Genomic DNA, 24,655 nt, shown 5'->3' on the forward strand with positions numbered 1-24,655 from the left:
AGAAGCTGGACTGAATGATGACTGCAAGATTTTTTTACTCCTTGACAACTGTTCTAATTATCCTTCAGCTGAAATTCTCATTACAGGCATGCACCTGTAGTCCCTGTAGTCCCAGCTACTTGAGAGGCTGAGGCAGGAGAAATGCTTGAACCCAGGAGGCGGAGGTTGCAGTGAGCTGAGATAGCGCCACTGCACTCCAGCCTGGGTGACAGAGTGAGACTTCATTTCAATAAATAAATAATAAGTAAATTACACATATATAGGTTGGGCATCCCTAATCTGAAAATCTGATGTCTGAGCACCAAAATGACACCACATGTGGGAATTTCCACACCTGACCTCATGTGACAATTCACAGACAAAATGCAGGCATACAAACACACAGTTTATTCAGCAACCCTGAGGGAAAAAAAGACCCTCTCAGCCCCCTTTAGCTGCAATATATCTTTTCTGAATACGCCCAGATTACCCCACACATGTGTGCACATAAAGTTGGCCAAAATGGCACATACACAGGCAGGACATGACAATGGCAGGCTCCACATGGAGCCAAGACCTATGTGCATTGCTCACTGTGTGTGTGTGGTTTTTTGTTTTTTTACTTATTCTCTGCTCTGTGGTGTAAAGATACTATTGAAAATGTCAAAAAGTCCTTCAGATATTCCTACGGGTAACGGTTATTAAAAAGAGAGAAGGCATTTATGTTTATATCACAGAAAGTCAAGTTGTTAGAGAAACTGGAGAGCAGTGTAACTGTAACATGTCTTACAAAACAGTATGGTGCTGGCATGACCACCATATATTAATATAACGTGAAGAAACAAAAGGATAGGCCAGGCGCAGTGGCTCACCCCTGTAATCCCAGCACTTTGGGAGGCCAAGGCAGGTGGATCATCTGAGGTCAGGAGTTTGAGACTAGCCTGGCCAACATGGTGAAGCTCCATCTCTACTAAAAATACAAAAATTGGCTGGGCGTGGTGGCAGGCACCTGAAATCCCAGCTACTTGGGAGGCTGAGGCAGGAGAATCGCTTGAACCCAGGAGATGGAGGTTGCAGTGAGTTGAAATCGCGCCACTGCACTCCAGCCTGGGCGAAAAGAGCAAGACTCCATCTTAAAAAAAAAGTAGAAGAAACAAAAGACAGTTAGTTACATGCTGAAATTCATAAACAGAAGTTAGTGAGAAATGCTGTACAAAGCTAAAAATGAAGATTTCAACTGTGTATTAAAAGAATGAATCCAACAGTGTCACAGTGAACAAATGCCACTTAATGGTATTCTGATCATGACACAAGCAAATATCCATCCGGATGAGCTGAAAAACTGAAGGGAACTATAAATACTCAATAGGTGGGTTGCACAAATTTATGAAAAGGCACAGCATTGCATTTTTAAAGGTTTATGGTGATAAAGCATCTGCTGATCATGAAGCAGTACAGAAATTCATTGACAAATTTGCCAAGGTCATTGCTTATGAAAATGTGACGCCAGAACAAATCTATAATACTGATGAAACATCAATGTTGTGGCGTTACTGCCCTAGAAAGACACTGACTACAGCTGATGAGACAGCCTCTACAGGCATTAAGGATGCCAAGGACAGAATAACTGTGTTGGGATACGTTAATACAATATGCATACATAAATGTACACTTCCTATGACAGGCAAAAACTTGTGTCCTCCCTGTTTTCGAGGAGTGAATTTCTTACCAGCCCATATTAAGCTAATGAAAAGGAATGGGACATCTTTTTTGAATGGTTTCACAAACATTCTCTACCAGTAGCTCATGTTCACTGCAGAGAAGCTGGACAGAATGATGACTGCAAGATTTTCTTATTCCTTCAACTGTTCTAATTATCCTTCAGCTGAAATTCTCATTAAAAATAATGTTCGTGTCATGTACTTTCCCCCAAATGTGACTTCATTAATTCAGCCATGCGACCAGGGTATCTTTAGATCAATAACGAGTAAATATTAACACACGTTCTTGAACGACATGCTAACAGCAGTAAAACAGAACTGTAGGTGTGGAAGGTTTTCAAAAAAGGTGAAGATGCCACATACGCTGTTGCCAACGCTTTGGACACAGTTACTAATGATGCAGTTATGTGTGCCTGTAACTATATTCAGTGATGATGGTGAACAAATGGTGACTTGTAACTATATTCAGTGATGATGGTGAACAAATGGTGACTTTGAAGAATTCTGTGTGTCAAGTGAGAAAAAAGTTTCCAACCTTCTTACATATGCAAAACAAATTCCATCACTGTCCATCAGTAAGCTAAAGGAAGTAGATAACGAAGACGACTTTGACACTGATAATGATATTCCAATTGTTCATTCATTAACCAATAGTGAAATAGCCAAAATGGTTCTGAGTCAAAGTGATTATAATAAGTGACAATGAAGATGACATTGTTAAACACTGCAGGAAAAAGTGCCTATGCATGACATGGTAAAAATGTGTGATGGGCTTACTGAAGGACTAAAGCATTGTGCATTCATAACAGAACAAGAAATCATGTCAGTTTATAAAATCAAAGAGAGACCTCTAAGACAAAAACCATTGTTAATGAGGCAGATGACACTGGGGAAAACATTTTAAAAAGCCATCTAGCAGAATACCTCCTCATCACTAGAGGACCCACTTCCTGGTCCTCAAATGCTTCTAAGCTTTCTTCTCACCTAAAAGAAATACAATGTACAGTAACCTTTTAATCAAAACACAGCATCAGAGGTGGAGACTGAAAGCCTGTTGTCTGTTCTTGCTGTTAATATCTGATACAGGTATTCTGGTAATGCTACTGTGCTGATTAGTTACAGTGAACACATTATTTCTTCACTGTACTAATGATATTTCATATTTTTACTGTTCAGTAGTTTTGTGTGAATAAATATAAGAAAATGATTACTTATCAATAGCATATAATTTCAGATTCAAAAATGGTGATAACCATGACTGTCCACATGGGTGGCTGCAATAGTGATAATTTTGCTTTCTAATGTACACAACTTTGTTTAATGCACACCATTATTTAAAATATTATTTAAAATTACCTTCAGGTTATGTATATAAGGTGTATACAAAATATAAACAAATTTTGTGTTTAGACTTGGGTCACCTCCCCAAGATATCTCAAGTATATGAAAATATTCTAAAACCTGAAAAAATCCAAAATCCAAAACACTTCCAGCCCCAAGCATTGTGGATAAGGATACTCAACCTGCATTAAAAAAATAACTGATTTTGGCCAGGCACAGTGGCTCGCGTCTGCAATCCCAGAACTTTGGGAGGCCAAGATAGGCAGACCGCTTGAGCTCAGGAATTAAAGACCAGCCTGGACAACATGGCGAAACCCTGTCTCTACAAAAAATTTTTTTAAAAATTGGCTGGGCATGGTGGCACACACCTGTAGTCCCAGCTCCTCGGGAGGCTGAGGCAGGAGAATTGCTTGAGCCCAGAAAGTGGAGGACACAGTGAGCCAAGATCATACCATTACATTTCAGCCTGGGTGACAAGAGTGAAACTCCATCTCAAAAAAAAAACAAAAAAAAAAACAGATTTTAATGTATGCTAACACATGGACTAATGAAGTACATATAGCCTAGGTTGGCTGGTGACTTCATTTGTTTTTCTGGTATCATTAATAAAGCACATACACATACAGACAATATATACATAAAAAGATTTTGTTAATATATATACCTTACATCGCTGCTTCTACTCTAATCATCTTAGCTTGAATGTAAAATATGAAACTAAAGTACAGTCATATGCTGAATAATGACATTTCAGTCAACAACGGACCACATATGAAGGCAGTGCCATAAAATTACAATGGAGCTGAAAAATTCCTATCTGGTGACACTGCACAGCCATTATAACACTGTACTGCAATTATTTTTAAAAAAAATTAATTTAGTGGGCCAGGCGTAATGGCTCACAACTATAATCCCATAACTTTGGGAGGCTGAGGTGGGTAGATCACTGGAGCTCAGCAGTTCAAGACCGGCCTGGGTAATGTGGCAAAACCCTATCTCTACAAAAATTACAAAAATTAGCCAGGTGTGGTGGTGTGTGCCTGTACTCCCAGCTACTTGGGAGGCTGAGGTGGGAGGATCACTTGGGCCTGGGAGGTCAAGCATGCAGTGAGCCAAGACAGCAACACTACACTCCAGCCCGGGCAGCAGATAGAGACCCTGTCTCAAGAAACAAAACCAAACAAAACAAATATAGGATAGCCTAGGTATACAGCATTTATAAAGTCTACGGTAGTGTACAGTAACATTCTAGGCCTTCACATTCTCTTCCCACTCATTCACTGACATGCCTACAGCAACTTCCAGTCTTGCAAGCTCCATTCATGGTAAGTAACCTGTATAGTATTTCCTTTACCTTTTATATCATATTTTTTTGTACCTTTTCTATGTTTAGATACACAAAAACTTACCATTGTGTTACAATTGCCTAAAATATTCAGTACAGTAACATGCTACACAGGTTTGTAGCCTCAGAACAACAGGCCATACCATATAGCCTAAGTATATAGTAGGCAAACCATCTTGGTTTGTGTAAGAACACTCTGTGGTGTTTACACAGCAAAGAAATCACCTAAGGACACATTTCTCAGAATGTATCCCCTCCATTAAGTGATGCATGGCTATTCGTAAAAGAGAACTGAAAAAAACCTTTGTGATCACAGCAATGAGTTCTTAGGTATGACACCAAAATCTGACCCATGAAAGAAATAAAAACATAAACTTCATGATAATTAAGATCTTTTGCTACAGACTGGTAGAAGGCCATGTATCTGAAAGAGGACATACATTCAAAGTTGAAAAGAAACCATTACAACTTAAAAATAAGAAAAACAACAAAAAATGATTTAAACAAGCATGTCTCCAAAAAAAAAATAGACGGTAAAAAAGTTCACCAATAGTATTCAATACCTATTACCACAAGGGGAAAAAAAATTAAATCAATGCTGTACCACTACATATCTAACAGTATGCCTATAAAAAATAAAAGTCAACCCTAGTAATACCAAGTTCTGGTGAGGATGCAGATCAACTGGAACTCTCAAACATTTCAAGTGGGAATTAAACATAGTACAGCTACTCTGGAAAATAGTTTGGCAGCTGCTATTTATAAAATTAAATATATTCTTACCATACAATCCAGCAATACCCCTCCTAGATATCTGCCCAAATAAAATAAAAATGTATGTTCACACAAAAATCTGTATATGTATGTTTTTAGGAGCATGATTCAAAATCACTCAAAAGTAGAATGGGTATCTGTTAGCGGGTGAATGGATAATCTAACTGTGGTATATCCATACAACAGAATACTCATTAATAAAAGGAACAAACTGGCTGGGTGCAGTGGCTAACGCCTGTAATCCCAATACTTTGTGAGGCCGAGGTGGGCGGATCACCTGAGGTCAGGAGTTCAAGACCAGCCTGGCCAACATGGTGAAACCCTGTCTCTACTAAAGATACAAAAATTAGCCGGGCGTGGTGGCAGGCACCTGTAATCCCAGCTACTCGGGAAGCTAAGGAAGGAGAATCGCTTGAACCCAGGAGGCGGGAGGTTGCAGTGAGCCAAGATTGTGCCATTGCACTGCAGCCTGGGGAACAAGAGTGAGACTTTGTCTCAAAAAAAAAAAAAAAAACAAAAAAAAGGAACAAACTACCAATCTATGGAACAGCATAAATGAATCTCAAAATTAATGAATGAAAGAAAGAAGCCAGCTTTGAAAGGTTATATACTTTATCATTACATTTATACAATGATCTGAAAAATGCAGAAACTAGCCAGAGGTTAGGAGTAGGGAGACAACTACAAGGGGGCAGCACAGGAAAATTTTTAAGGTAAGAGAACTATTTTGTATCTTGATTGTGGCAGTGGTTACCTGAGTCTATGAATTTGCCCAAACTCAAAAAATTGTACATGGTAAAATAAATGAATTTTAGTGTACACACATTTTTATAAAACCAGTAATTTTTTTTTCCAGAAATCATACTCAAGTACTAAGTAAAGCACGGTCTTTAACTCAGTACTAATTAAAGGAGACAGGGAAAAAGGTACATACGGAATAAAAGGAAACAGACCCAACTCTTAACCGTGGTTAACTTTAAAAAAAATTAAAGATGATTTATTTTACTCCTTACGACTTTCTGTGTTTTTCACAAATCATGCAGCAGATATTTTTAAATCTTATAATCAGTAAATGGGGTCTCACTATCTTGCCCAGGCTGGAATGCAGTGGTGCAATTATAGAACACTACAGCCTTGAACTCCTGGCCTCAAGAGATTCTCCTAACTTAGTCACCCAAGTAGCTGGGACTACAGCTGTGTGCTACTCTGCCCACTGGGAAATGAATCATTTTTTTAAAGTGTGATTAGATACTACAAGATACAGAGATTTCTCTGAGTAGCTGAGAAGCAACTAAAATAAAGCCATGAAAAGGGGAAACATAAGATAAATGAAGAGGAGGCTCTAAAGCCTATGAGTGACACTAGTTTTGTTAAATCAAAATCTGGCCTGAAACAGCCCTAAAGCATACTTGGGTTCTTATGTATGAACTGCAACCTAACTTATTAGGTAAGCAAATTCTCACTTAGCAATATGCTTCTGTAACAATAGCTAAATCTCAGCCAACCACAGCAGCCATACTTCAACCACTCATGAATAACCAACTGTTCAAACCATGTTCATTTTGCCAAATAAAGCAAATAAACTATAACCAATTCACTTCTGTACCTCATATTTCCATTTTCTATACATCACTTTTCTTTTTCTGTCCGTAAATTCTCTAAGACCATGCAGCAGTACCACAGCCTCTCTGAATCTGCTCTAAGGGCTACCCAATTTGTGAATCATTTTTCCTTGCTCAGTTAAATTGTAAAATTTGTCTGAAAGTTTTTCTTTTAACAGTCTATTGGTCTATCTACTTGGCTACTATTTTTAAGAGACTTATCGTATCATTCAGTGTCATACCATAATTTAGCGCAACTAAAATATCATTTTAAAAGGCAGTTTTAAAGTTCATCTGCTAATGAGTAATACAGTTTTGGGAAAAAGTGAAAGTCCTAAAATTTCAGGACTTAGGTCCCCCTACACCCCCGGCCCTCCATGATACATATTTTCACACCAAAAGTAAAGTTGGCCCCTCAGGGATGACATTTTTAATGAGCTTTTACTATTCTGCAGTATAGAACAAATGAAAAGAATTTTTTTTTTTTTTTTTTTTTGAGACAGAGTCTCACTCTGTCACCCAGGCTGGAGTAGTGTCATGATCTCAGCTCACTGCAACCTCCACCTCCCAAGTTCAAGGAATTCTCCTGTCTCAGCCTCCCAAGTAGCTAAGATTACAGGTACCTGCCACCATGCTTGGCTAATTTTTGTATTTTTGTCAACTCCAACTTTATGCCTCCTTGTAAAAATTTTTCAATAAAGAAATTACGGGCCGGGTGTGGTGGCTCACGCCTGTAATCCCAGCACTTTGGGAGGCCGACGCGGGTGGATCACGAGGTCAGGAGTTCCAGACCAGCCTGCCCAGCATGGTGAAACCCCGACTCTAATAAAAAGACAAAAAAAATTAGCCAGGCATGGTGGCGCACGCCTGTAGTCCCAGCTACTTGGGAGGCTGAGGCAGGAGAATTGTTGAACCCAGCAGGTGGAAGTTGCAGTGAGCCAAGACTGCGCCACTGCACTCCAGCTTGGGCAACAGAGCGAGAGTCCATCTCAAAAAAAAAAAAAAAGAAAGAAAAGAAAAAGAAAAAAAGAAATTACAGGGCAGGCGTAGTGGCTCATGCCTGTAATCCCAGCACTTTGGGAGGCTGAGATGGGTAGATCACCTGAGATCAGGAGTTCAAGACCAGCTTGGCCAACGTGGTGAAACGCCCCCACCCTACTAAAAATACAAAAATCAGCCAGGCGTGGTGTGGGCACCTGTAATCCCAGCTACTCCGGCGGCGGAGGCAGGAGAATCTCTTCAACCCAGGGGGTGGAAGTTGCAGTGAGCTGAGATTGCACCACTGCCCTCCAGCCTAGGCAACAGAGCAAGACTCCATCTCAAAACAAGAGAAATTACCGCTGGGTGCAATAGATCATGCCTATAATCCCAGCATTTTGGAAGGCTAAGGCAGGCAGATCACTTGAGGTCAGGAGTTCGAGATCAGCCTGGACAACATGGTGAAATCCACCTCCACTTACTAAAAATACAAAAATTAGCCAGGTGTGGTGGCGCATGCTTGCAATCCCAGCTACTTGGTGGGAGGATCGCTTGAAACCAGGAGGCAGAGGTTGCAGTGAGCTGGGATCGCGCCATTGTACTCCAGCCTGGGGGACAGAGCGAGACTTCATCTCAAAAAAAAAAAAAAAAAGGCATTCAAATGTCATCAAGACATCAAAAAGTCCTGGCATTTGACCAGGGCAGATATCTTAAGCAGGTATCACTGAGTCAACTCTGAGAATTGATAAAGTCATCTCTCCAATCCATGAGACTATGAAGATATACTGGCTATCTGAACTAAAACTGGCTCTCAGTTTACACCATGACTAACAAGAAAGCTTTACATAATCCAGAGATATGATTCATTTCTACAAATAGTTTACTTGGTTAAATATAATGACATTGGGTCAGGATAGCTTAATCCTAGGTCTGCCATTCACAAACAGTAAATCCATATGCAGGTCGCCTATCTCATGAGTCAAGTCACCTTATCTGCAAAATGGAGATAATAAGGATGTTGTGAAGATTCAGGATGTTGTGATAAATTCATACAAAGGTGACTGATACTGTTTGGATGTCTGTCCTCTCCAAATCTCATATTGAAATTTGATCCCCATTGTTAGAGGTGGGGTCTAATTGGAGGTGTTTGGGTCATGGGGACGTATCCTTTGAATGGCTTGGTGTCCTTTTCAAGATAATGGGTGAGTTCTCACTCTATTAGTTCCCAGGAAAACTGATCACTAAAGAGAGTCTGGGCGGTGGCTCATGCCTGTAATCCCAGCACTTTGGGAGGCCAAGGCGGGTGGATCACCTCAGGTCAGGAGTTTGGGATCAGCCTGGCCAACATGGTGAAACCCCGTCTCTACTAAAAATACAAAAATTAGCCAGGCGTGGTGGCAGGTGCCTGTAATCCTAGCTACTTGGGAGGCAGAGGCAGGAGAATCACTTGAATCCAGAAGTCAGAGGTTGCAGTGAGCTGAGATCACGCCATTGCACTTCAGCCTGGGTGACAGAGTGAGACTCTGTCTCAAAAAAAAAAAAAAAAAAAAAAAAAAGCCTTCCCTCTCCCTATGTGATGCCTGCCCTCCTTTGCCTTCCACTATAAAAGGAAGCTCCCCAAAGCCCTCACCAGAAGCAGATGTTGGCATCATGCTTCTTCTACAGTCTGCACAACCATGAGCCAAAAAAACTTCTTTTCTTTATAAATTACCCAGTCTCAGGTATTCCTTTTACAACAATGCCAAGTGGACTAAGACAGTGTTTTTACACAATGCCTGGTATGGAGCAAAAGTCTGTTAACAGAAGTTATCGATACCAGTTTTGCGTTCTCATACACTCTGTGTCAATGATGTTCAAGATATTGTGCTCTAGCACTTGGGGAGAAGAAAGTAAAAAATATAAATAAGACATAATCAATCCCTGTCCTCAAAGTGCTTATAGAATAGTAGGATAGCCAGGCATGTATTAGCAATAACTGTATCTCAAGGCCTCATGTAAATGTTGAAACTTTTTATAAAAAGCATTAGACTTACAAAGAGGAGTCTCTGATTGCAACCAATGGAATCCTTGAAATGCGGGAACTATATGAGTTACCCTGGATTTTTAGAGATTTAATTAGCAGAAATAGGTGAAAAGGCTTCATAGGTGGGGGAAAAGTATGAATAAAAGAATGGACATGTAAAAACACCTAGTATTTTCCAGAAGCGCTACACAGTTAGGTATAGATAAAATACAGAATTGAGGAAAATAGTGATGAATTTTGTAATACTGTAAATTCACTAAAAGAATAATTGACAGATACCTGACATTACAGATTGATAACTGGTAAAGAGTATCTACATAAATTTTTTAAAACTTTAGGGTTTTTAAAAACTCTTGACATTCTGCCCCATCCTGAAAGCTTGTAACTAAAAAGTAAAGCACTTATTACTTCTATATGACAAGCATCCTACGATGTCATAAAAATTTATACCTATAAAAGAAGACAAAAAGAATAAGATTTTAATATATTATTCACATAAAATGATTTTCTCACTTCTCTATCAATGGAATCTCACAACCAAATACTTTTCTGTAACATCCTTATTACCTCCATTTTGCAGAAAAGGTGACCTGACTCATGAGATAAGTGACTTGTGTGTGGGTTTATTGTTTGTGAGTGGCAGATGTAGGAAAAGCTATTCTCACCCAATATCATTAGATACATACTAAAGGGTTTATGTTTTTTCAGATTTTTAAAATCCTTACCTGATTGATCTATTGTCATGATAATCATACTGCCAATTTTATTGCTGATTAAATACCAACTACTGTTCGAAATAACTTTTTTCATTTTTCAAAGTCAAATAACTTTTGCATAGTAATAGTGCCAAGAAATACTATGAATTCGTTGAAGGATTTTATATAGGTAAACACATTTAAAACTCACAACATTACTATGAAGTTGGTATTATTGTTTTCTCCTTTGTAGAGATATGAAAATAGAATTACAGAGGGAGTTAAGCAGTCACCCATAATTAAACAGCTAGTGAGCTGCAGAACCAACTTTTTTTTTTTTTTTTTTGAGACGGAGTCTCACTCTGTCACCCAGGCTGGAGTGCAGTGGTGCAATCTCAGCTCACTGCAAGCTCTGCCTCCCGGTTTCATGCCATTCTCCTGCCTCAGCCTCCTGAGTAGCTAGGACTACAGGCGCCCGCCACCGTGCCCAGCTAATTTTTTTGTATTTGTTTAGTAGAGACGGGGTTTCACCATGTTAGCCAGGATGGTCTCGATCTCCTGACCTCAAGATCCGCCCACCTTGGCCTCCCAAAGTGCTGGGATTACAGGCGTGAGCCACCGCACCCGGCCCAAAATTTTTATATACATTAAATATTTCTCCCAACTCTGGTGCTGTATTTATGACTAGATATGTAAGCAATCATATTTAATATACATCTATATATATTACATTAACATTTGATATAGATTCTGTTCTTCTCTGAACTGTGCCTTAACAAACAGAAATTTTTCTTTTTTTTTTTTTTTTGAGATGGAGTCTCGCTCTATCACCCAGGCTGGAATGCAGTGGTGAGATCTCGGCCCACTGCAACCTCTGCCTCCCAGGTTCCAGCAATTCTCCTGCCTCAGCCTCCTGAGGAGCTGGGATTACAAGCGCCTGCCACCACGCCCAGCTAATTTTGGTATTTATAGTGGTATTTATATTTGGTATTATTCACAATGTTGGCCAGGCTGGTCTTGAACTCCTGACCTCAGGTGATCCAGCCACCTCGGCCTCCCAAAGTGCTGGGATTAGAGGTGTGAGCCACTGCACCCAGCCTATAACCATTAATACTATAACCAATCATAATCTAACGTGAATAATTCCAATATATGTATTAAATTTGTATAAAACAAGTTTGAGGTCTATTATAATTCCTAGACAACATTAATTTCATTTACTTCAAAACTGGGTCGTATGAAAAAAGCTGGAATGGTATATAGACTTTTCTTCTTTTACCCTGAGAGCATTTGCTGAATGGGGACAAACAAAATCAAGTTTATAGAGCCTTGTGGGGAAACAAAAATAGAACATAAAATCACCCTCTGTTCATGCAAAGAAGACTAACAAGAGACCTACAAAGGGCTAACTACTCATTGGGATAACAGAGTACCAGAAGTAAACCTACCCTAATTCTTTTTACCTTCACAGGTCTGCAAGGAAAGCTAGGTTAGCACCGAGCAAATACGGCTTAAAAAAAAATCCTTGAATGCCGTAACCACAAACCAGTCCCAGTATGAATTCATTCACATCATTTTAGTGATACAAAAAACTTCAAGCTTTCAATTTAATGTAGTCCAAGGCCATCAGTGCCATCTCCCCAGATATACAGCAGACACAACAGCAAATCCTCTCTAGAGAAACCTACCTCCATTCTAGACCTAAATCATTCTCAAAAATCTCCCCTAACCATCTCATCCTAGTAAGGAGGGGCGAGAATAAAAAAATATACACAAGGAAACAAGGTCACATGACTGAGAACCAATGAAGACAGAAAACAAAAAAATTTTAGACATAGGAATTAGCAGATACAGATTAACACAGACTAACTTGAGGTACTTTGTGTTTAACGAAATAAAGGTAAGTTTAGAAATACGTTTAGAAACAAATTAAATGAGCAAGTAAAATTGAAAAAGAACTACACAGAGCTTCTAAAAATAAAAGACTAATAGACATATTTTCAAAAAGCAATGAATTGATAAAAGTTTATTAGATACCAATAAAAAGGATAAGTAAACTGGAAGTCTGGCCAGCCATGGTAGCTCACGCCTGTAATCTCACCCCTTTGGGAGGCCGAGGCAGGTGGATCACTTGAGGCCAGGAGTTAAAAACCAGCATGGCCAAAATGGTGAAACCCCATCTCTACTAAAAATACAAAAATTAGCTGGGCGTGATGACATGCATCTATAATTCCAGCTACTCAGGAGGCTGAGGCATGAGAACCACTTGAACCCAGGAGGTGGAGTTTGCAGTGGGCCAAGATAGAGCCACTGCACTCCAGCTTGGGTGATGGAGTGAGACTCTGTCTCAAAAAAAAAAAAAAAAAAAAAATTTAAACTGGAAGTCAAGTCAGAGGAAATACAGCACAGAGGCAAAGCAATAAAACAGTAAAAATAATATACAGTTGACCGCTGAACAAGAGAGGTTTGAAATGCATAGGTATGCGTAGTTTTTAATAGAACATGGATCAAAAATACAGTGTTCATGGGATGTGAAACCTGTGTATACAGAGGGCTGACTTTTTATGAGTGTGTTCTACGGGGCCAACTTCAGGACTTGAGTATGTGTGGAATTTGGTAAAAGTAGGCTGGTGGTCCTAGAATGCTATTCGGAGTTCCACTAATGGAGGAATGGTATTGTTCACAACACTGAACAAAACCAATCCTGACGACTGTATTCATGGGACATACAGTCTACGAGGAGAGACTGATGGTCATCAAACAACATAAAATATATTACATTTCATGTGTGATAAATGAAGTTAGGAAAATTTATTAAGTACTTTCCTCAATCAAGACCATGGGTGTAGACAGCCCTTTCATGAAGACATAAAGTAATATCTGAACTATGAGTCAAGTTAACTAGGAAAACTTTCTAGGCAGAGAGAACAGTATATGCAATAGAACTAGGCAGAAGAAAATACAGTATTTTTTTGTAAGAACTCAAAGAAACTTACAGCAATAAATTGTGAATAAGATTTGGGAAGGGGTCACGGTAATGATGGTGGTTCATAAGGCTACAAAGGGAAGACCATGCAAGTCTTATAAATGAATATATTTGGTCTATCTACTACTAATGTGAAGATGCTAACAGATTTTATGCAAAGCAGGTGAAACGGTAGATTTTTATTTGGAAATATATTCACAATAATTGACTGCTTCCTTTGGGAACCACAGGTACTTTGGGAATCTTTTTTGTTTTTTGGTTGAGACAGTCTCACTCTATCACCCAGGCTGGAGTGCAGTGGCGTGATCTCGGCTCACTGCAACCTCTTCCTCCCAAGTTCAAGTGATTCTCCTGCCTCAGCCTCCGGAGTAGCTGAGATTACAGGCGCGCACCACCACGCCCAGTTATTTTTAGTAGAGATGGGGTTTAACCATATTGGCCAGGCTGGTCTCGAACTCCTGGCCTCAAGTGATCTGCCCGCCTCAGCCTCCCAAGCGCTGGGATTACAGGTGTGAGCCACCATGCTTGGCCAAGGGAATCCTTGTTTAAATTTATTACTGAGGCTTTTTTTGTCTGTTTGTTTTTGAGATGGAGTCTCGCTTGGTAGCCAGGCTGGAGTGCAGTGGTGCCATCTCAGCTCACTGCAACCTCCGCCTCCCAGGTTCAAGCAATTCTTCTGCCTCAGCCTCCTGGGTAGCTGGAACTACAGGCACACACCACCACACCCAGCTAATTTTTGCATTTTTAGTAAAGACGGGGTTTCACCATGTTGGCCAGGATGGTCTTGATCTGTTGACTTCATGATCTGCCCGCCTTGGCCTCCCAAAGTGCTGGGATTACAGGCATGAGCCACTGCGCCTGGCCCTGAGTTGGTATTTGTATAGTAATCCAGCATTTAACTGCAAAGGTTAAGTACAATATAAATAGTAATCCACAACTTCAACAAATTAAAAAGGTGATCATGAATCAATTGTCCCCACAATTAACAACTCTCTTATCACTAAGAGAAGGGTAGTCACTAGTTTTTAATCTAATGAAATTGTATATTTTTCTTAACCTAAAATTATTCATTTTTATTGTTTGAACATATTGCCTATTTAATTTTTAAGTTTATGAATGTACTGTATTATTTACTGTGTCTAAGTAGCTGAATTTATCTTATTAATCATTTCTTCATTTTAACCAATTTTTCATATTTTTTATTTGTGTAGCTCTCTGGATTTAACAATCTTATCCTTTTTTATTTATTACAACTGAGATGAGCATGCTAAACTTATTTTTACATAAACTTGTATATTTTACTTTTTCTCTAGTTTTAAAAATACCTTTTCTATTTTAATCATCTTTTATATTTACTTTTTTATTATTCAGAGTATTTTCTACCTAAATTTTCTACTGCTTTTTTCTGTTTATATTTATTTTAAAAATTTTAATATATCTGAATTAAAAATAGACAGCAGCTGCGTGTGGTGGCTCATGCCTGTAATCCCAGAACTTTGGGAGGTTGGGGCAGGTGGATTGCTTGAGCTCAGGAATTCAAGAACAGCATGGGCAACATGGTGAGATCCCATATCTACTTTAACAAAAAAAAAAAAAAAAAAAGTCAGGCATGGTGGTGTGCACCTGTGGTCCCAGCTACTTGGGAGGCTGAGGTGGGAGGATCACTGAAGCCTAGGGAGTGGAAGTTGCAGTGAGCCAAGACTGCACTACTGCACTCCAGCCTGGGTGACACAGTGACATCCTGTGTCAGGAAAAGAATAAACAAATAAATAAAGATGGCTTTCAGCACAATGCTGAGTAAGATAGAGATTTTTGTCTTAGAAAAAAAAAAGCAAGTGATTCTCTAATCTCTCTCACTTGTGCTGCCATGTTCCAACTTATCTACTTTTTTTTAAACATTTTGAAATAATCACAGATTCATAAGAAATTGCATTAAAAAACAAAATCAGGGAGGCCCCTGAGGACCCATCACCTGGTTTCAAGATGTTATGCAAAGGTCACATCTTGCATAGTTACAGTATAATTTCAAAACCAAGAAACTGACATTAAGTACAAACCACAAAGCTTATTTCCATTTCACCAGTTTTACATATACTCATTTGTGTGCATATGTGTGCGCATGGCTGTGCAGTTCTATGCAATTTTGTAATGTGCAGATTCATTTAACATCATGACCACAACCATAACAGAGAATTGTTCCATCATCACAAGGATCCCTATTGCCTTCATTTATAAAACTCTTGAAACAGAGCCTAAATTTATTTACATGAGACAGACCAGAAAGCTACTCTTGGAAGAGAAAAAATTGAGCAGTATGTGAAAGAGGGAACAACAGTAAAAAGCTGAGGAGTTGGAAAAGAGAACTTTTCCAGTGACAGCTGTGTGAGAGTTGCTCTTGGTTGGAAAGAAAGATATGCAAAGATGATTTTGTAGAAGTTTTATTCTATGATGTTTTCCCTAGTTACTTATTAAAAAAAAAAAGGTAATGTGTGCTCATGTGCATTTATCTTAGATCATATACAATAATGAGATGGGCGCCCAGTGAGAAAGCAAGCAGGTCCAACTTTATTTGGACTACACAATAATGAGGTTTCAAGGCTAGCTGATTTAAAGCCCAAAGAAACCACAATCGAGCTGAAATAGCAGGCTACTGCATCACTATTTCTCTAAAATAAATTCATCTTGTGTTCCAAAATTACTCATATGTTCTTCAAATAAATTATATTTAAATGAGGACTTCTTGTAGTCCAATGTGAGGAAAAATTAAGCATAAAGACCAATTATATTACATGAAAAATTAAAAGATAGTGTTAGGGTTACACAATCTACATAGCAGCATATGGCAGTGCTACATTACAGTAACAAAAGGGATTGTAAAAGATTTAATCCAGACTCATATGTAACACAACTACCTACATATTACTGACCAATAACTACTTCATCTACTACAAAGTAGAAGACAAACTTTACCTACAAACACAACGTTATGTCTGAATACTAGATATTTTCTGGCATTACTCACTAAAAAGTGGGAGATACAGACACATGAAATACAAATATTTCTAAATCTGTAATGATTTCTTCATCATCAAAGAAAGGACCTCCTTCCTTCACTCTGAAAATGAATTACTTTGAGCTAGTTTACTCCAGACCCTCACTGAAGAACAAAAAAGACCTGAGAAAGCATTCTTTGATTCCTTGAAATCCCTAGTGGACCGGACCCTCAAGGTTAGCACAAGCACCTTCGGGCTTACCAGATTTAGGAGATATTACAATGGTTTGGACTGTTATTTTTCATTGTTCATCCATCTGCCTTTCAACTTTACAATCATAAGATATCAAAATTGCATTTCATTCACAAGGCTGTATATGTATATAAGTTCTCTATTTAGTTTAAAACAACACTTTTGGTAAATATTTATGTTTACCCAGAAAGAAGGAAGCAAAGTGAGGCAGGGAGTAGGAAGGGAAGGCAAGTCTGAGAACATGTAACAATCTGTTAGCTAAGGATACCCCTGGGAAATACAGGAAGAGAAAGAGAGAACATTTTCACTTTTAACTTTATACTATTCACAACTATTCAAACTTCAATATACAGTTGATTCTGACTTTAGCAAGTTAATTAACTACCCTATGCCTGTTTATTCATCTATAAACAAGAATAATAGTGTCTACCTCAAAAGAATAATGTAAAACACTGAGAAAAATATCTGGAACTTGGTATGCCTTCAAAAATGAACTAGTAATAATATATTACTGACATTATATCTTTTTTTTTTTAATGGACTCTCACTCTGTCGCCAGGCTGGAGTGCAGTGGCGCGACCTCAGCTCACCGCAACCTCTGCCTCCTGGGTTCCAGTGATTCTCCTGCCTCAGCCTCCCCAGTAGCTGGGACTATAGATGCGTGCCACCACGCCCATCTATTTTTTCTATTTTTAGTAGAGATGGGATTTCACCATGTTGGCCAGGAATAGTCTCAATCTCTTGACCTCATGGTCACACAAATATATTTTTTCAAATGGTAAATTCAGATGTGTTTGTTTATTTGAGACAGAGTCTCGCTCTGTTGCCCAGGCTGGAGTGCAATGGCACAATACTGGCTCACAGCAACCTACGCCTCCCAGGTTCAAGCGATTCTCCTGACTCAGCTTCCTCAGTAGCTGGGATTACAGGTGTGCGCCACCACACCTGGTTAATTTTTGTATTTTTAGTAGAGACGGGGTTTCACCATGCTGGCCAGGCTAGTCTCGAACTCCCGACCTCAGGTGATCTACCCGCCTCTGCCTCCCAACGTGCTGGGATTACAGGTATGAGCCACCAAGCCCGGCATAAATGTGCTTTAAAAGAGTATCAAAAGATATTTGTATTTATTTTTCATAAAACTCTTCACAATTGCAGTTACCTATTTGTGTCAGACGGCAGAGATTCACAGTATCTACATAATGCTTAGCCAACAGTAAGTATTCAAATATATTTATTGAATGAATGAAATTATCTCCCAACACAGATAGGATGCTGTGTTTAAAATGTCAAAAGACACAGACAGACAGACACACACACACACACACACACACACACACACACACACACAGAGACAAACTCCTTACATAAAAAAGCAAGCACTTTTAGTACCCAAAACAGACTTCCCCTGCCAGCCCCCAAGAACTAAATAAAAAAAAAAAAAACCTCTCAAATTAGAACACATGTAGACGTGGCAACTGTATTTCTGGACAGGAGAAAAATGGAATCAACACCCTTCATATTTAAATGGCTTGCTGTTCTTGGCTGTTTTGAATTACAATAATGAAAAAGTGAAAATCCCAAGTAATTCCAAGTATAACAAAAGAGATGAATAGATATAGGAAATACTTATAATGGAAAGGTCAAGGAATCAAGAAATGATTCCAAACTATCATCTATTTTAGGATACGAAAATTTTTTCACAGATTATAACCAAATAAAACTCACTATGGCTTAAGAAATAGGCAAAACCAGAAAAGTTCTACAACATCATAGAAATCCTGAGAAATCTAAACATTCTGTTAAATTCTAGTAAATGGCAACTAATTGTCATGTTTGGATAAAACAATGAAATATGACATAACAATTTAAGAAATGGGGTAAAAAAAAAAAATCTGAAGATAGATACGGTGGTGTGTACCTGTCGTCCCAGCTACTCACAAGGCAGAGGCCAGGAGTTCTAGTCCAGCCTGGGCAATATAGCAAGATCCTGTCTCTTTAATACGATATAATTAAGATATATCATATATTAGGGTTAGAATAGGGGAAAAACGGAAAAAAGAAAAAATTATGAAAACTCAGTAATATGGTTTTTATTAGGATTTAGATCCTAATAAAATCACAACAAAAACAAGATTTTAAAACAGAAAAAAAGCTGTATAAAAGTTTGAACATATGGCAGTAGAAGAGTGGGGTGGGGTCCCCAGGTAAGTTTCAACGTTAATAGAAGAGAATGCAATACCTCCATAACCCAGGGGCTGTTAAAGGCAGTCTGGAAAGGCGGCCAGTTAAAACTATCTAGTTCAAAATACTACCTTAAGTTCTACAACATACATTCACATTTAAAACAGTTTTGATTAGTAACGATCAGATTGTATCTTGTGGACCCTCCGAAAATGAAGATGACAGAAAATCTAACCATGTTGGACCTTCAAAATAATGACCTCCTTCAATTTCCACCGAAGCATGGTAATTGTGTGAATTTAAGAATATTACTACCAGATAGAAATCCATTTCATATTCTTTGAGCAGCCATACTAATGAAAGGAACACCTGTTATACTAGAATATTTGAGAACCTAAATTCCCATTTAAATTGGAGTTGTTTCATAATCCTAGTAATGTTAATTCTTAGAAAGTAACATTTTGTTTTAGTATCATCTTAGAGATTGCTATTATAATTTCTCACTATTACCTAGCCATTGGTATAACTGGCCTGGGCCATATTCATGGCTACCACCATTTCTACATTCACAACTATTTAACATTTTTCTAAGCTGTTGTGCACATTTATCATGGTAATAACCACATATTATGTTCATACATTTGTTCTGGACGTTTTACAGAGAATTTATCCTACTAACTTTCATTTTCTTAAAACACAGCAGTTTCTTCAAAAGTTAATTTTTGAAAATGTGATCTAATATTTTTATAATGACAAAACATTTTTGTAGAACTGGTTTTATTTCCCTTGTTTCTTTCTGCATTCCACATAATGTGACCAATTTACCTGAATATGACTATCCAATTTCTAACTTCTTATTACATAAAAAATTGAATTTTAATGAATACTTTTCATTACCCATGATAGGAATTTTGTGGTCTCAGTACAAGTTTTAACTTTGTTTTAATCTAGTTGAAATGTTTCTTTTCTAGCTATTGAGTTGGTCGTTTCCTCCTGTTTCATGAAATCATTTTATCAGAGTTACTAATGTCACAGAAATGCTAATCAAAATATAGTTATTGAAGAAAGTACTGAAAGTTGTTATAACTGCTCTTACAATTTAGAATTTAAACTCTTTTTTAAGGATGGCTTGGTATTGTTTCCATATGGTAACCCGGTACTTTTAGATTCAAGAGAATTAAAAAGATTGGATCTGCATATTTTCCTATCAGTCAGTGTAGCATTTAAAAATACCTTTTGTTCCTTAAAAAAAAGGTATGGAAGACCTTATCTTTTCTAAAGATAGCAGACAGAAAACAATAAGGAATACCACAGAGAAATCTTAAAATAGGGAGCAGAATGGCTTGTGTCTGTAATCCCAGCTACTTGAGAGGCTGAGGCAGGAGAATCAATAGAGGCCAACAGTTGAAGACCAGTTTGGGAAACATAGCAAGATCCCCCATCTCTTAAAAAAATTAAAGAAAAAGATTTGCCAGGCATGGTGGTGGTGCATTCTTAGAAGAATGATCCTCTCACCTCAGCCTCCCCAGTAGCCCGCTAAGTCACAGCTACTTGGGAGGCTGAGGTAGAAGCATCACTTGAGCCAAGGAGTTTGAGGTAATAAGGAGCTATAATCATGCCACTGCATTTCAGCCTGAGTGACAGTGAGACCCTGTCTCCGAATAAAAGAAATGAAATCTTAAAATGTACTTTGTTTAAACATGTATTAAGCAGGTATTATATACCTAATCTACTCTGTGGATATGTTTTAATCCAACCTTGTAAGTCTTATTTCCAGCACCTTAATTTTAAAACTTGGCTTGCAATCTTGGTAAGACTAAACTTGCAGTCATGCAGTAATTTCCTAAAAGGATATTTGACAATAGGTATGTTTAATTTAATGAAAATCCAACACAAACATTTTTGTTCATACCAAAATGATTAGAAATCACTAATTAGAATTCTTACCAGATAGGCAGGTAGACAGTTTTTGGATAATGATGGCATGCTTATATTATAAAAAAATTACTGTTAATAAAGATAAATATTACATACCACAAAAGTTACATGTTTCAAATATATTTAAACCTGATTTTAAAAGTATAGTTTCTTTTTTTATTTTTGAGACAGAGTCTCACTCTGTCACCTAGGCTAGAGCACAGTGGTGAGATCTTGGCTCACAGCAACCTCTGCCTCCTGGGATCAAGCGATTCTCCTGCCTCAGCCTCCCAGGTAGCTGGGATTACATGCGTGAGCCACCGAGCCCGGCCTAAAAAGTATAGTTTCCATTAAATACTTTCAATTGTTTTCCATTATCTTCGTCATTACAAATGAACAGTTTCAAATATTAACTTTGGCTGGTAGCTTAAAACTACAATTTTTAAATTTATTTTTGAATAACTAAATTTTCTAATTTTAAACTTAAGTGAGTTATTTTAATGTTTTAAGAAATAAATAACTAGGCCAGGTGCAGTATCTCACATCTGTAATCCCGGCACTTTGGGAGGACAAGCTGGGCACATCACCTGAGGTCAGGAGTTCGAGACCAGCCTGGCCAACATGGCGAAACCCTGTCTCTACTAAAAATACAAAAATTAGCCAGACATGGTGGCGCATGCCCGTAATCCCAGCTACTTGGGAGGCTGAGGCAGAAGAATCATTTGAACCCAGGAGGCGGAGGTTGCAGTGAGCTGAGATTGCGCCATTGCACTCCAGTCTGGACAAAAAGAGCAAGACTCCGTCTCAATAAATAAGTAAGTACATAAACAAATGAACAACTTGATACTTGTATACCTAGAACTTGGTATACATCAAATACTAAAAAGAAAGAAAAGTCAGATAAAAAGCAGAAGTGTCTCTGGGGTTTGACAAATAGTTCAATTGAAAGCAATTAAAATTAAAAATCAGCTTCCTCTCAATTTTATTTACAGCATGTCTTAAGTTAAGGACTCAGTAAGAATAACCTACTCCAGAGGCTGCAGTGAGCTGAGACTGTGCCGCTGGACTCCAGCCTGGGCAACAGAACAATACTGTCTCAACTAAAAAAAAAAAAAAAAAAAAAAAAAAAAGAAAAAGAATATCCTACTCCTCAATTTCATACACTTAAGAAATATGGAAAGCAAAGTCCAAAATTATAGAGCAGAAAAAATTTAAATCTACTTTTAAATGTACTTAATTTTGGAAAACAATTTAAGAGGATATTTAGAATAATGGTTCACTTCCTTTTTTCATGCAACTTCAGAAATACTGGCTTTTTAAAAATCACTAGTTTGGGCCAAGCACAGTGGTTCACACCTGTAATCCCAGCACTTTGGGAGGCCGAGGCGGGTGGATCACCTGAGGTCAGGAGTTCCGAGACCAGCCTGGCCAACATGGCAAAACCCCATTGCTACTAAAAATACAAAAATTGGCCGGGCATAGTGGCACATGTCTGTAATCCCAGCTACTAGGGGTGCTGAGGCAGGAGGATCACTCGAACCTGGGAGGCGGAGGCTACAGTGAGCCAAAATCATGACACTGCACTCCAGCACGCGCAACAGAGTGAGACTGCATCTCTAAAAAAAAAAAAAAAAATCACTAGTTTGAAAGAAGTGTTTACCAATAAAATCAAGAAATTCCTTTTAATTCATAACTAAAGTGTCTTTTATTCATTATCTACTCAACAGCTAATAGTATCAGGTATTCAGCCTCTACTGAATAACTTTAAGTGCACAATTCTTGCCATCAGATAGGCAAAAACTTAGTTGTAAATCACAATAGTTTAAATAGTTCAGTTACACATATATATATTTATTTATATATATATTTATTTATTTTTTAAGACAGGGTCTCACTCTTTTGCCCAAGCTGGGGTGCAGTGGCACAATGACAGCTCACTGCAGCCTTGGCCTCCAAGGCTGAAATGATCCTCCCGCCTCAGCCTCCCAAGTAGCTGGGACTACAGGTGGGCACCACCACACCTGGCTAATTTTTGTATTTTTTAGTACAGGTATGGTTTCACTATGTTACTTGGGCTAGTCTCGAACTCCTGGGCTCAAGCAATCTGCCTGCCTTGGACTCTCAAAATGCTGGGATTACAGGCATGAGCCATCATGCCTGGCCTAGTATATTGTATTTATATATAATTCCTAAAATATGATCAGTGCTTAGAAGACTGAGGATCCCTGACTAAGCATTCATAATTAAGCATGAGGCACTAAAAAGCTATTGAAAAACACTTTGTGAGTGAGAGTGGCTTGGTGAGTATTACTGTAGGGCACTTATTACCAGTATTTATTATTGTTCTTTTCTCAGGGACCTTCACTTTCCCTGAGGTAACAATCCTCTAATCATTTCAGGGGGGACGTAACTGGTTGACATGAAATAAATGGGGCTGAAAGAACCACTTAGAAAAAGGATTTTCATTTAATGCACTTGTCCTATCAGAAATTCTGATGGGCCAAATGTCCTTAAAGCCAGAACCTCTACTGTTCATATTCTTGAGAGAATGTACTGTAAGTGGTGAAGAGGTTAGCTTGCCAACTGTGAGAAGTATGAAGAAAGCACTGGGAGTCTACTTCTCTTCATACAATTCTTTTTTTTTTTTTTTTTTTTTTTCCTGATGGAGTCTCGCTCTGTCGTCCAGGCTGGAGTGCAGCGGTACAATCTTGGCTCACTGCAACCTCTGCCTCCCGGGTTCAAGCAATTCTCTTGCCTCAGCCTCCCGAGTAGCTGGGATTAGAGATGCATGCCGCCATGCCTGGCTAATTTTTTGTTTTTGGTAGAGATGGGGTTTCACAATGTTGCCCAGGCTGGCTGAGAACTCATGAGTTCAGGGAATCCGCCCACCTTGGCCTCCCAAAGTGCTGGGATTACAGGCGTGAGCCACCACGCCTAACCCATACAATTTTTCGATCAATTCCTGCATTATCAGTTCCCACCATCACTTCTACCATGCAAAGCATCTGGGGCTTTGATTTTGAACCTTTCTAAAATCTGCTAGCATTCCCCTCTGATGACATTTAGATTTCAGGTTTTTCTTTTTATGAGACAGGGTCTCACTCTGTCACCCATGCTGGAGTGCAGTGATGGCTCACTGTAATCTCTACTTCCCAGACTCAAGTGATCCTCCCCCTCTGGCCCCAGCCTCTCCCGGGTAGCTGGGACTATAGGTACACGCCACCATGCCTGGCTAATTTTTTTTTTTTTTTTTTTTGAGACAGAGTCTCACTCTGTTGCCCAAGCTGTAGTGCAGTGGCATGATCTCAGCTCACTACAGCCTCCACCTCCCGGGTACAAGCAATTCTCTTGCCTCAGCCTCCTGAGTAGCTGGGATTACAGTAATGCGCCACCATTCTTGGCTAATTTTTGTATATATTTTTTTTTACGTAGAGACTGGGTTTCACCATATTAGCCAGGCTGGTCCTCAACTCCTGACCTTAGGTGATCCGCCCACCTTGGCCTCCCAAAGTGCCGGGATTACAGGTGTGAGCCACTGCGCCCAGACTGTCTGGTTAATTTTTAACTTTTATGTACAGATGAGGACTTACTATGTTGCCCAGGCTGGTCTTCAACTTCTGGGCTCAAGCGGTTCTCCCACCTTGGCCTCCCAAAGTGCTGGGATTGGAGTGGGCAAGGGGTCAAAACAAAAACCTAGTGCTGAGATTACAGGCGTGAAGCCTGGCCCAGTTTTCTTTAATCCTGTTAAATTGGTCACTAATTGACACCCACTCCCTACATTCTAAAAATGTATTTCTATCTTGTGACCATTATCTCTTACTGTTCATCCTTTTTTTGTTGTTGCTATCTTGGTGCGATTTTGGAGGAAG

The 24,655-nt window shown here is 38.8% G+C and overlaps 1 protein-coding gene across 11 annotated transcripts in view, besides 3 other annotated features; it reads right to left on the reverse strand.

Moving 5' to 3' along the window:
* The window catches only part of JMJD1C (jumonji domain containing 1C), a 354,666-nt gene that overhangs the window by 172,607 nt on the left and 157,404 nt on the right, over positions 1-24,655 (reverse strand). The window lies entirely within an intron of this gene.
* Positions 15,176-15,355: an enhancer, noted in NCBI's record as "active region_3436". NCBI's record gives its function as "activates an Ori minimal core promoter by ATAC-STARR-seq in GM12878 lymphoblastoid cells {active_cell/tissue: GM12878}" and the evidence as "EXISTENCE:reporter gene assay evidence [ECO:0000049][PMID:35858748]".
* Positions 15,666-15,785: an enhancer, noted in NCBI's record as "active region_3437". NCBI's record gives its function as "activates an Ori minimal core promoter by ATAC-STARR-seq in GM12878 lymphoblastoid cells {active_cell/tissue: GM12878}" and the evidence as "EXISTENCE:reporter gene assay evidence [ECO:0000049][PMID:35858748]".
* Positions 21,238-21,438: a silencer, noted in NCBI's record as "fragment chr10:65120829-65121029 (GRCh37/hg19 assembly coordinates)". NCBI's record gives its function as "represses an EF-1alpha promoter that drives an FKBP-Casp9 reporter gene in an ReSE screen in K562 erythroleukemia cells {active_cell/tissue: K562}" and the evidence as "EXISTENCE:reporter gene assay evidence [ECO:0000049][PMID:32094911]".

This window comes from Homo sapiens, chromosome 10 (genome assembly GCF_000001405.40).
Source record: "Homo sapiens chromosome 10, GRCh38.p14 Primary Assembly".
Classification (NCBI taxonomy): Eukaryota; Metazoa; Chordata; class Mammalia; order Primates; family Hominidae; genus Homo; species Homo sapiens.